The 12,666-nt window shown below is 43.0% G+C and overlaps 1 protein-coding gene across 1 annotated transcript in view, besides 2 other annotated features; it reads right to left on the bottom strand.

Annotated features, from left to right (window-relative positions):
* EPHB1 (EPH receptor B1) overlaps positions 1-12,666 on the bottom strand; it is a 465,208-nt gene that overhangs the window by 249,634 nt on the left and 202,908 nt on the right. The window lies entirely within an intron of this gene.
* Positions 4,705-5,205: an enhancer, noted in NCBI's record as "H3K4me1 hESC enhancer chr3:134724471-134724971 (GRCh37/hg19 assembly coordinates)". NCBI's record gives its function as "activates a minimal SCP1, AML or CMV promoter by ChIP-STARR-seq in naive H9 embryonic stem cells {active_cell/tissue: H9 hESC(naive)}" and the evidence as "EXISTENCE:reporter gene assay evidence [ECO:0000049][PMID:30033119]".
* Positions 5,206-5,706: an enhancer, noted in NCBI's record as "H3K4me1 hESC enhancer chr3:134723970-134724470 (GRCh37/hg19 assembly coordinates)". NCBI's record gives its function as "activates a minimal SCP1, AML or CMV promoter by ChIP-STARR-seq in naive H9 embryonic stem cells {active_cell/tissue: H9 hESC(naive)}" and the evidence as "EXISTENCE:reporter gene assay evidence [ECO:0000049][PMID:30033119]".

Here is a 12,666-nt window from a genome sequence, read left to right as displayed (position 1 = left end):
TCCCAGCACTTTTGGAGGCCGAGGTAGGTGGATCACGAGGTCCGGAGTTCGAGACCAGCCTGGCCAAGATGGTGAAATCCCATCTCTACTAAAAATACAAAAATTAGCTAGGCGTGGTGGCGCTTGCCTGTAGTCCCAGCTACCTGCGAGGATGAGGCAGGAGAATCGCTTGAACCTGGGAGTCAGAGGTTGCAGTGAGCCAAGATCGTGCCATTGCACTGCAGCCTGGGCAACAAGAGTGAAACTCTGCGTAAAAAAAAAAAAAAAAAAAAAAACAGAAAAAAATACAGACCCTCAGGGCCCACCTCAGACTCACTGCACCAGAATTCTTATTCTAACAAAATACCCAAGCACTTAATATACTCTTTAAACCTTAAGAACCACTTTTCTAGGACAAAGAAACCATAGTGGAAGAACAGGCAATGGCAGCTGAGTGGATAAGAAAAAAAATGCCTGTGTATTATGGCAGAGAACAGAATGTAACAGCTACACATCTCATCAATGTAAAAGTAGTAACATAAGAAATCCAGAGTAGGGGGATGAGGGAAGGAGAGGAAGTAGGAAATCAAGGGATACTGTGAAATTTTTAAAATGTGAATAAATCTCATCTTTACTCTACCCAAAAAACTTTACAGAAATTAAAATAACTTGTAATGAAGAAAAACATTTTTGAACTTTAGCAATTTTTGCACTTTCATTTTAATTTTTTAATCTATTAAATTCAAATCAAATTATATTGCTTTTAATTTTAAAAAAGATATACAGTAATTTTCTATTTTTGTAAATGTGTTTGAATTCACCTAATTAGCTATCATTCTATCAGAGGGATAGCTGTGCAGCACCAAATGTTAATGATTTCCTCTGGATGGTGGAATTTGAAGTAATTGTTTTTTGTCATTTTAAAATTTGTACTTTTGTACATTACTTGATTTAAAAAGCAAATAATAGCGTCTACTATTTTCACACAAAAAAGTTCTTTAAAAGCATAATCAGAAACGTTTTTATTTTACATAACAGAACAGATTTAAATAATGCTCTAAGTAGTACTCAGATTCCATAAATTTGAAGTAAAAGGTAATTAAAACTAGGTTAAAAGAAGGCAAATTGGGTGATAAGCTGCCTAAAATGTGACCTGCTCCCCATCACTAAACACTGCTTCTGCATTAGGATGTTAGAAAATCTTAGCAATGCCTTCTGTTAGGAAGCTTCTCAGGTAGTTGCAAACCCTCTGTCTCTCCAGGGCCTGGGGGCCCTCAGGCTCAGTGCCTGCAGCTTTGGCAGTGGGAGAAGCTTGGTATTTTTTGCCCCTGCTTGGGCTCACCAAGGCCTGCCTTTCTTTCTCTGTACTTTTCTGTTTTCTGCATCTCAAAGATACAGGATACATCATCTACAGATACAGGAAAGCCCCCAAATTATAGTAGCTGAGCTGCATAATAAGACACCCAGGCCCTTTAATACATGACTTTCTGAGCCAGACCCCAGACCAATGGTTCTTAAATTTTGGTGGTTATCAGAATCACCCAGGGAACGTTAGTAAAAATATTAAAGCCCAGGCCCTGTCCTCCTCATGGCTCTGGGGCCTGTAGACTTCAGCCGCTGTCAGGTGAGTCAGAGGGAACTGAATCCAACTCTGGAGATGGGCCAGGCATCAGAGGGCCTCAAACCTTTCCTGGTGGCTTTCATTGCAGCCAGGGTTTCTAATCACTACCCTCACATCTGCTCCTGCATCCATATTCCTCCCAGTCAGACAAGGAGGGATGGGGGTTTATGCTGTTCCTTTCCTTCCAGGCAACCCATGGCCCTGGGACTCTGCAACAGAGTAGGATGGGATCCATAAGTCCACGCCCCTGTGACCACACCTGCCCAGTGAAGGGCCTGGCCGCACTGAATGCACTCAATCTTTCTAACACCCAGACATGTGAGTTGTGTTCCTCCATCTCAAGACACACTGAACTCTTTCTTAAGTAAAATAACTACACTGAAGTTGTCCTTGGGTCAGCCTCATCTTTCCAAAGATGGAGCAAATAAAGGCCAAGGTGCTAGGTGGTGGTCAAGCCTTCCCTGGATCCAGCTCTTCTCTCGGATGGCCCCATGCCATTTCCACTCAACTAGGAAATGCCATTTACACATTCAGAGCACAACGAGACACCCTTTGAGACAGATTATTTAACTGCTCCTCATAGCAGCAATTTTCACCTCTCCCATTTTGCTGAGAGAAGATTCCACAAGGGACTGCTGGTCCTAAAGAAACTGCCCTGGGAACTAGAATCCCTAGCGTGTTTCAAATCCACTTTCAAAGAGTGTGCTGGCTGAACATGCCAGTGCATTCTTTGAAATTCATTTGATAATATCATGGAGGCTGAGCTTTTCAAGGCCATAGAGTGAAATGCTTAAGAACACACTCTGTAGCCAGCCTGTTTAGGTTTAAACCCCAGTAGCATGACTCAGGGAAACTATTTAACCTTTCTCTGTGCTTCAGCATCCTCATCTGTAAAATGGGGATAATAATGATATTTGCCTTATAGGAATGCTTGGGAATCAAATGAGTTCACATTGTAAGTGTGCATAGGACACATAGTAAGCACTATGTATATGTTTGTTATGATTATTCCTTAATTCTATCTACGTGTCTGAATGCAACCAGCCTCCTCTCTTCTTTCTGTTCCATGTACCAAGCTGATGCTTTGCCCTGCATGCCCCCATCTAGTTAACCATCTAGTTCTTCCTTGGTAGTTAGAGCTCAGGCGCCAATAGTAGCTTTCCTGTTTTGTCCCCTGCCTCCTCCCACAATCTCAGTTGTCCTGATTTCAGCAGAGCATTTGAGCCTCCCCTCATGATTTTGTCACGGATGTGAAGGCTGGCTGGGGCCTCGGCCATCCCCTTAGTAATAATTCTGTTAAATAACTGTGTCCCGTCATCCCTGAGAAATGGGATGTCATCGCCTGGTGCTGCCCTTCGTCCTGACCTGATCAACAGCTTAATCCATGAAGTAGAGGAAAAGTATTTAACAAGATGTATATCAAATCAGGAAGTGACAGAAAGCTGGAAGAATGACTAAAATGCTGGGGAGTTAAGATTCAGACTGATCACGTGGGGATTGAAATTCTGGATTGAAGCCAAGAGAAGGTGCTCTTTATACAGGACAAATGTAAATTATAAATCGGGAGCCTTGGCTTTGCAGCACAATATGTGAAGGAGATGGAGGTGTGCAGGTGAATATGCACTTCCTGCCATGACCTAGGGTGAGTCTGCATCCCAGAAAAGGCCCACTCACTATCCTCTGAATTAAGGACATCCCTTCCAAAGAGTTCTGTATTGTTATGGAAGCCACAAGATAATACGAACAACAGTGACTGGAGTTTGCACATCATTCATTTATTCATGAATCCACTTGCCATTATTTCGGGCTTTATTTTTGCAGGTAATTGGCCTAAGAACTACTAACAGAAGAGTGTCTGGTTCTTCAGAAAGTCTAAGATTAGGGGCTGGAGACCACCAGAAGGTGCATTTGATGAAACAATCTTTCCAACAATCAGAAAAAAAGTGAACTTCCTGTCATTAGCTGTGTACCCAGGCTCTGCAAGGGAGGTAAGGGAGTGTCTAGAGAATTGCTACTGCGTTAGGCAGCTGGGACCCTCAGGTCCTCTTTCAAGGTGCTATTCCATGGTCCTATGAATCACATGATAAAGTTGAGGCAGGTAGTGGGAAACTGAAAAGGAGGTAGACTAAATCAGATCTTTCATATCCCAGGCAGCCAGCCTTCCTTTTGCCTCTAGGCTGCTCCTGACCTGTTTCTGCCTTGATCTGGAACCAAAGTGACTCCTGATCCATTGGGTCTCACCTCCATTCACATAGCATAAGCCCAGAAGAGAAATGCAAGTTAAATCTACAAGGGTACCATGTTTCAGCTGTCGGGGTGGCAAAGATCAAAATATTTGATACTAGCTAATGGTCAACCCTCATACTTCATGGGTTCGAGCATTATCTAGCACAATATTTTGAAAAAAAAAAACTTGGCATCATATATCAAAATTTAAAATGCATACACTTTCCCACTTTGTAACCCCATTTCTGGGAATGTACCGTATAGATATATTTGGATTCCTACAGAGCACTCTATTGTACAAGGATGTTCACTGCAGCATTCTCCTCTCATTCTCTCTCTTTTTAGAAACAGTGTCTCACTATGTTGCCCAGACTGCACTTGAACTTTTGGGGTTAAGCAATCTTCCTCTCTCAGCCTCCCAAGTAGCTAGGATTACAGGTATATGCTACTTTGCATCATTCTCTTTCTTAGGCTTTGGCAAAACATTTCAATCTTTTATTGTCATTTTTATGGTGCAAAATACTGTAACTAAATATTTATCATTTTAACCATTTGTAAGAATATAACTTAGTTGCATTAAATCCATTCACAATATTATATCACCACCACCACTATCTATATCCAGAACATTTTCATCATCCCCAACACGAAATTCTGTACTCATTAAACAATAACTCCCCATCTGCCCGTAGTAACCTCTGTTCTACTTTCTGTCTCTATGAATTTGCCTCTTCTTCCCCATATAAGTGGAATCATACAATATTTGTCCTTCTGTGTCTGGCTTCTTTCACTTAGTACTTGTATTAGTCCGTTCTTACACTGCTGTACAGAAATACCTAAGACTGGTTAATTTATAAAGGAAAGAGGTTTAATTGACTCACAGTTCCACATGGCTGGGGAGGCCTCAGGAAACTTACAATCATGGCGGAAGGTGAAGGGGAAGCAAGGACCTTCTTCAAAAGTTGGCAGGAGAGAGAAGAGTGAGCAGGAGAAATACCAGATGCCTATAAAACCATCAGATGTGGGGAGGAGCCAAGATGGCCGAATAGGAACAGCTCCGGTCTACAGCTCCCAGCCTGAGCGACACAGAAGACAGGTGATTTCTGCATTTCCATCTGAGGTACTGGGTTCATCTCACTAGGGAGTGCCAGACAGTGGGCGCAGGTCAGTGGGTGCGTGCACCGTGCGCGAGCCGAAGCAGGGCAAGGCATTGCCTCACTCGGGAAGCACAAGGGGTCAGGGAGTTCCCTTTCCTAATCAAAGAAAGGGGTGATGGACGGCACCTGGAAAATCGGGACACTCCCACCCGAATACTGCGCTTTTCCGACGGGCTTAAAAAACAGCGCACCAGGAGATTATATCCCGCACCTGGCTCGGAGGGTCCTACACCCACGGAGTCTCGCTGATTGCTAGCACAGCAGTCTGAGATCAAACTGCAAGGCAGCAGCGAGGCTGGGGGAGGGGCGCCCACCATTGCCCAGGCTTGCTTAGGTAAACAAAGCAGCCAGGAAGCTCTAACTGGGTGGAGCCCACCACAGCTCAAGGAGGCCTGCCTGCCTCTGTAGGCTCCACCTCTGGGGGCAGGGCACAGACAAACAAAAAGACAGCAGTCTCCTCTGCAGACTAAAATGTCCCTGTCTGACAGCTTTGAAGAGAGCAGTGGTTCTCCCAGCACGCAGCTAGAGATCTGAGAATGGGCAGACTGCCTCCTCAAGTGGGTCCCTGACCCTGACCCCTGACCAGCCTAACTGGGAGGCACCCCCCAGCAGGGGCACACTGACACTTCACACTGCAGGGTACTCCAACAGACCTGCAGCTGAGGGTCCTGTCTGTTAGAAGGAAAACTAACAAACAGAAAGGACATCCACACCAAAAACCCATCTGTACATCACCATCATCAAAGACCAAAAGTGGATAAAACCACAAAGATGGGGAAAAAACAGAACAGAAAAAATGGAAACTCTAAAAAGCAGAGCGCCTCTCCTCCTGCAAAGGAACGCAGCTCCTCACCAGCAACGGAACAAAGCTGGACGGAGAATGACTTTGATGAGCTGAGAGAAGAAGGCTTCAGACGATCAAATTACTCTGAGCTATGGGAGGACATTCAAACCAAAGGCAAAGAAGTTGAAAACTTTGAAAAAAATTTAGAAGAATATATAACTAGAATAACCAATACAGAGAAGTGCTTAAAGGAGCTGATGGAGCTGAAAACCAAGGCTCGAGAACTACGTGAAGAATGCAGAAGCCTCAGGAGCCGATGCAATCAACTGGAAGAAAGGGTATCAGTAATGGAAGATGAAATGAATGAAATGAAGCGAGAAGGGAAGTTTAGAGAAAAAAGAATAAAAAGAAACGAGCAAAGCCTCCAAGAAATATGGGACTATGTGAAAAGACAAAATCTACCTCTGATTGGTATACCTGAAAGTGATGGGGAGAATGGAACCAAGTTGGAAAACACTCTGCAGGATATTATCCAGGAGAACTTCCCAAATCTAGCAAGGCAGGCCAACGTTCAGATTCAGGAAATACAGAGAACGCCACAAAGATACTCCTGGAGAAGAGCAACTCCAAGACACATAAGTGTCAGATTCACCAAAGTTGAAATGAAGGAAAAAATGTTAAGGGCAGCCAGAGAGAAAGGTCGGGTTACCCTCAAAGGGAAGACCATCAGACTAACAGCAGATCTCTCGGCAGAAACCCTACAAGCCAGAAGAGAGTGGGGGCCAATATTCAACATTCTTAAAGAAAAGAATTTTCAACCCAGAATTTCATATCCAGCCAAACTAAGCTTCATAAGTGAAGGAGAAATAAAATACTTTACAGACAAGCAAATGCTGAGAGATTTTGTCACCACCAGGCCTGCCCTAAAAGAGCTTCTGAAGGAAGCGCTAAACATGGAAAGGAACAACCAGTACCAGCTGCTGCAAAATCATGCCAAAATGAAAAGACCATCGAGACTAGGAAGAAACTACATCAACTAACAAGCAAAATAACCAGCTAACATCATAATGACAGGATCAAATTCACACATAACACTATTAACTTTAAATGTAAATGGACTAAATGCTCCAATTAAAAGACACAGACTGGCAAATTGGATAAAGAGTCAAGACCCATCAGTGTGCTGTATCAGGAAACCCATCTCACGTGCAGAGACACACATAGGCTCAAAATAAAAGGATGGAGGAAGATCTACCAAGCAAATGGAAAACAAAAAAAGGCGGGGGTTGCAATCCTAGTCTCTGATAAAACAGACTTTAAACCAACAAAGATCAAAAGAGACAAAGAAGGCCATTACATAATGGTAAAGGGATCAATTCAGCAAGAAGAGCTAACTATCCTAAATATGTATGCACCCAATACAGGAGCACCCAGATTCATAAAGCAAGTCCTGAGTGACCTACAAAGAGATTTAGACTCCCACACATTAATAATGGGAGACTTTAACACCCCACTGTCAACATTAGACAGATCAACGAGACAGAAAGTCAACAAGGATACCCAGGAATTGAACTCAGCTCTGCACCAAGCAGACCTAATAGACATCTACAGAACTCTCCACCCCAAATCAACAGAATATACATTTTTTTCAGCACCACACCACACCTATTCCAAAATTGACCACATACTTGGAAGTAAAGCTCTCCTCAGCAAAGGTAAAAGAACAGAAATTGTAACAAACTATCTCTCAGACCACAGTGCAATCAAACTAGAACTCAGGATTAAGAATCTCACTCAAAACCGCTCACCTACATGGAAACTGAACAACCTGCTCCTGAATGACTACTGGGTACGTAACGAAATGAAGGCAGAAATAAAGATGTTCTTTGAAACCAACGAGAACAAAGACACAACATACCAGAATCTCTGGGACACATTCAAAGCAGTGTGTAGAGGGAAATTTATAGCACTAAATGCCTACAAGAGAAAGCAGGAGAGATCAAAAATTGACACCCTAACATCACAATTAAAAGAGCTAGAAAAGCAAGAGCAAACACATTCAAGAGCTAGTAGAAGGCAAGAAATAACTAAAATCAGAGCAGAACTGAAGGAAATAGAGACACAAAAAACCCTTCAAAAAATTAGTGAATCCAGGAGCTGGTTTTTTGAAAGGATCAACAAAATTGATAGACCGCTAGCAAGACTAATAAAGAAAAAAAGAGAGAAGAATCAAATAGACGCAATAAAAAATGATAAAGGGGATATCACCACTGATCCCACAGAAATACAAACTACCATCAGAGAATACTACAAACACCTCTACGCAAATAAACTAGAAAATCTAGAAGAAATGGATAAATTCCTTCACACATACACTCTCCCAAGACTAAACCAGGAAGAAGTTGAATCTCTGAATAGACCAATAACAGGATCTGAAGTTGTGGCAATAATCAATAGCTTACCAACCAAAAAGAGTCCAGGACCAGATGGATTCACAGCCAAATTCTACCAGAGGTACAAGGAGGAACTGGTACCATTCCTTCTGAAACTATTCCAATCAATAGAAAAAGAGGAAATCCTCCCTAACTCATTTTATGAGGCCAGCATCATTCTGATACCAAAGCCGGGCAGAGACACAACCAACAAAGAGAATTTTAGACCAATATCACCAATATCCTTGATGAACATTGATGCAAAAATCCTCAATAAAATACTGGCAAAACGAATCCAGCAGCACATCAAAAAGCTTATGCACCATGATCAAGTGGGCTTCATCCCTGGGATGCAAGGCTGGTTCAATATATGCAAATCAATAAATGCCCCCATAATTCAATCACCTCCCTCTCTGGACCCATGGAGATTACAATTTGAGAGGAGATTTGGGTGGGGACATAGACCCAAAACATGTCAGTACTGAATATTGTTTTCAAGGTCCATCCATATTACAGCATACATCAACATTTCATTCATTTTTATGGCTGGATAGTATGCCATTCAATATATATACCACATTTTGTTTATCGATTCATCTCTTGATGAAGAGTTGGATTGTTCCTACCTTTTGCCTATTGTGAATAATGCTGCTGTGAATGTTGCTGTACAAATGATATGTTCAAGTCTCTGCTTTCAGTTCTTTTGGACAGCATTCTTTTTGATGACAAAAAGATGGAAAACAACCACAACAACTATTAATAGGAGACTAGTTAAATAAGTTATGGTACATCCATACATGAGGATACTATGCAACTCTTTATAATGAGGCAGGTTTATGAGTCTTGGTATGGAATCATCTATAAGATACATTATGAGGAAAGAAGGAGGAGGAAGAGAAGGATAACATAGAGGAGGCAAGAAGGAAGCAGCAGCAGCAGCAGCAAAGGGAAGAACTGAGTGCATGCCCGACACCTAGGCTGTCCCTGGAAGCCTCCACAAAAGCCAGTGAGAGTGGTGCTCTGGGAGGCCATTGGGCCTGGGGTTAGTGGTGAGGGAAGGCTTTGCTATATGCCCTTTGGAAATATTTTAATGAACTGAATGTTTTACCTTCTCAAAATTTGTCAATACTTTAAATTGGCATATGATCTTTTAAAGTCCTGAGTGTGGTCATGGGTCCAGCAGCAGGTGGGAGTGTTTGACAGCCATGAGGCTATAGAACAGCCCTGGGAGATGGAGGCAGGGGACCAGCCGACATTTATCCCTGCAAGCCCTGGACACATCGCCACTGCCACCCCATCTTCAAACACAGAGCTCACTGTTAGCAACCTCCCAGATGCCTTGTAGCCTCTTGATTCCAATCCCCCATTTCTTCTTTTCTTCCTCTCCTCCCCAGAAAAGTAATTTGGAGAGCTGCAAGATGGAAGGTGCAGGCTCCCCCGCCTGGCTGTTCATGCTTCACACTGCTGGAGACAGAGGCCATGGAGTGAGTCTTCAAAGTTGCAAGAACACCCTGCCCCAAGGAGGATCAGCACTCAATCAGGAAAGGCCTCTGACACCCTCCTCCTCCAGGCCAGATACATGGAAAAGGTGTCTGCTCCGAGCCAGCTGAACAGACCTCACATGATGATAATCAAATCATATTTGAAAATGAGATGAGGAGGGGAGTCAGAACAAAAGTCTATGAAAAGAAAAATAAGGTGGAAGTTGCAGAAATTGGTGTTCTGTATTCTAAGGCCTTCCTGGCTCCTGGCAGGGTTTGAGATTAGTGTTGATAATAGCTTCACCATAGGACCACAAAAAATCAATGGAACTGGGACTGAGGCAGGATCCATTTATCTTCTTGGGGTGAAATAGAAGGTGTGATTTTTAAAAAGGCAAATTATAACAAATGTGTGTAATTGATGTGCATACACAGAACCATGCAAGACGGGCCAACTGCACACAATTGCACAATATCAGGCATTATTCTCATCAAGAGTTTTTGTAACAATGCCAACCCCAGGACACGGTTCAAGTACTCTGGAGAGTAGTACTAGGAATTGAGTTCTAGAATGTGTTGCGTTATTTTTGCATGATTAATTATTTGTTTGAAAAGGTGAGGAAGAATACGAAAAAGAAAAGCCAATTTGCAGGTCCTGTTTTATAATAAAATGACTTGCTTGGGATAGGGCTTCAGCTGTCACTTAATCTATCCCTCTGCCTCTCATTTAAATGGACTATTTCCCCCATGGAATGATTTTTTTCCCTCTTAAAGGTCTTTCTGTCAGTTTCCTGTATTGAGCTATATGTACCCTTCTCATGGGCAGAGATGATGCCTCATCACCTCTATGGTGTCAACACCTGACACACAGAAGTCTGTCAAAAGATGCTGTATTTATTAATTGATTAATTCTCTAATTAAGAGAGACCTCATTTTTCAACAGCAGGCTATCTTTCCATTTCAAAGCTAGGTTTTTCACATGCAGCTTTCTTATCCAGCTGGCAGTGCTAAGCCAGTCTAGTTGAAAGATTCAAGTTAGTTCCTGGAGAAGTAAATTTCCAGTGAGGAGGTGGGCAGGATGCATAGGGGTGAGAGAACTACTTTCCATGTCTGGTGAGTACCAGCCTGGGGACCAGAGGACCCAGGACAAGGAGCATCTCCACAGAGTGCATTGTGTGCCTGCAGCCTATGTACTTAACATCTTTGGAGACAGAAGTATGGAGCAATACCCTGCAAGAAAAGTGAGAAAGAGCAGACCTTGGTCCAAGGGAGATCCTCCTTCCTGGCTTAATCAAGGCCACTTTTAAAAGCTTTCCTTAGCCTCCCAGAAAGCCAGTCAATGTTACCACAGAGTCACAAGGCCACCTGAGGCAAGACGCTTTATAGGCTCTCTGGTAGTACTGCCCCATAACATGTCTACAAGCTTCTTCTGCTCCTAGCCTGGGCCTGGGAGCTGCCAGGCAATCCTCTCATCCTTCTTTTTCCTTCTTCATAAAGCCTGGGCTGTGCCCAGCCCTTCTTCTCCTCTGAAGATGATCCTTCCTCCTTTACTAAGATGCAGGAGGTGAGGAGTGAGCAGCTCACCGTCTTTCCTTCTCACCTGAATATATTTTTACCACAGTCCACAGTATTTCTGCATCCAAGTCACCTGCACTTTCCTTGCTTGGGGCCCTCACCAGTTCTGGTAAGAAGCAGCCCTTGTTCTCAAGGAATTTTCAGACCATCCCTTCTCTCCTCATATCTGATTTTATCCTCTTCAGATTAGACTCAGAATGGCTTTTTCAAATATCCCTTCTCTGTCTGGCAAATTGCTGTTTCTAGTCACAATCACCTTCCCTTAAGATATGAAGCTGATCAAATCTTCCCCATTCCAACAACAGTAACTCAAAAAACCTTCCGGCATGCTGATTTTCTCTCAAGCTCTCTTTTTTTCTTTCCCTTTTGTTTTTAAATCTATGCCTAACTGCTTCCACTTTCTCAACCCACTCAGCCTTCCAACTAGGGAAGGGGTTGTCTCCATCATGGTTCTGAAATTAACCATCACCAGTGACTGACCAGGTATCGGGTTTACTTGACTCACTACCCTGCATAGCCACCTGGCTGACACTGATGCCATGGACCTGTCTTCCCAGCCCAGTCAGCCTGTGCAGCCTTGTGCTTCCGGCTCTGCTCTCTTCCTGCCTCTCTGACTGTGACTTCTTTGTTTCCCTTCCTGGCTTATCTTCTTCCTCCTGTCGCCATCATGTCCCTCAAAGCCCAGTGCCTATCCTTGATCCCTTTTTCTCTCTCTACTTTCTCTCCCTTGGCAATCTCATCCCAGTATAAATTTTAAAAATCTATCAAATATTATGAATGAGACACTGTGTTAGGCACTGTTGATGTAGTGGTGAATTATAATTCTTTCAAAGCCTCACAGACAAATGGTGGAGGAAAAGACAGATAAATGAATAAATGATTTAACGCAATATATTAAGAAGTTTCTAGCTCAAAATGGGGATGGTATCCCCAAAGCATTCACACATTTTTTAGCAAATTTATTATAGTGTCAGAAAAATGTTGAAACTTCACAACAACCTATCTTTAATACTGACATATAACCCAGTGTCAGAATGGGTGGTATCTGCATCAGAGATGGTTTGAGAAAACCTCCCCAGACTTAGTACATGCTCATCCTAACTCTACTGCCTAAAACAGAGATTGCATGAAGAAAAAGGTAATAAAGTCCAGCTTCTGCCCTGCCTTAGAGACCCAGGGCTACTACCAATGAGGAACTGGGCTATGTTGTGAGTCAAGAAAGTTTTCACTTCATGACTTACATTCTCTTCCTTGCCCAGAAAACATCTATACACAGCATAGCTACCCAAGGACTAGAAATGGTGCAATGCCTTCTGAGAACCTAGAAGTGGTCCTATGGGAAAAGCACTCTGTGAGAGGGGGTAAAGACAGTCATGACCCAGAAGTGGTGCATGCAGGAAACTGTATTTTT

Source organism: Homo sapiens, chromosome 3 (genome assembly GCF_000001405.40).
Source record: "Homo sapiens chromosome 3, GRCh38.p14 Primary Assembly".
Taxonomy (NCBI): Eukaryota; Metazoa; Chordata; class Mammalia; order Primates; family Hominidae; genus Homo; species Homo sapiens.
Note: the sequence above shows the minus strand (reverse complement) of the source record. Positions and strands in the feature narration are given on the sequence as shown.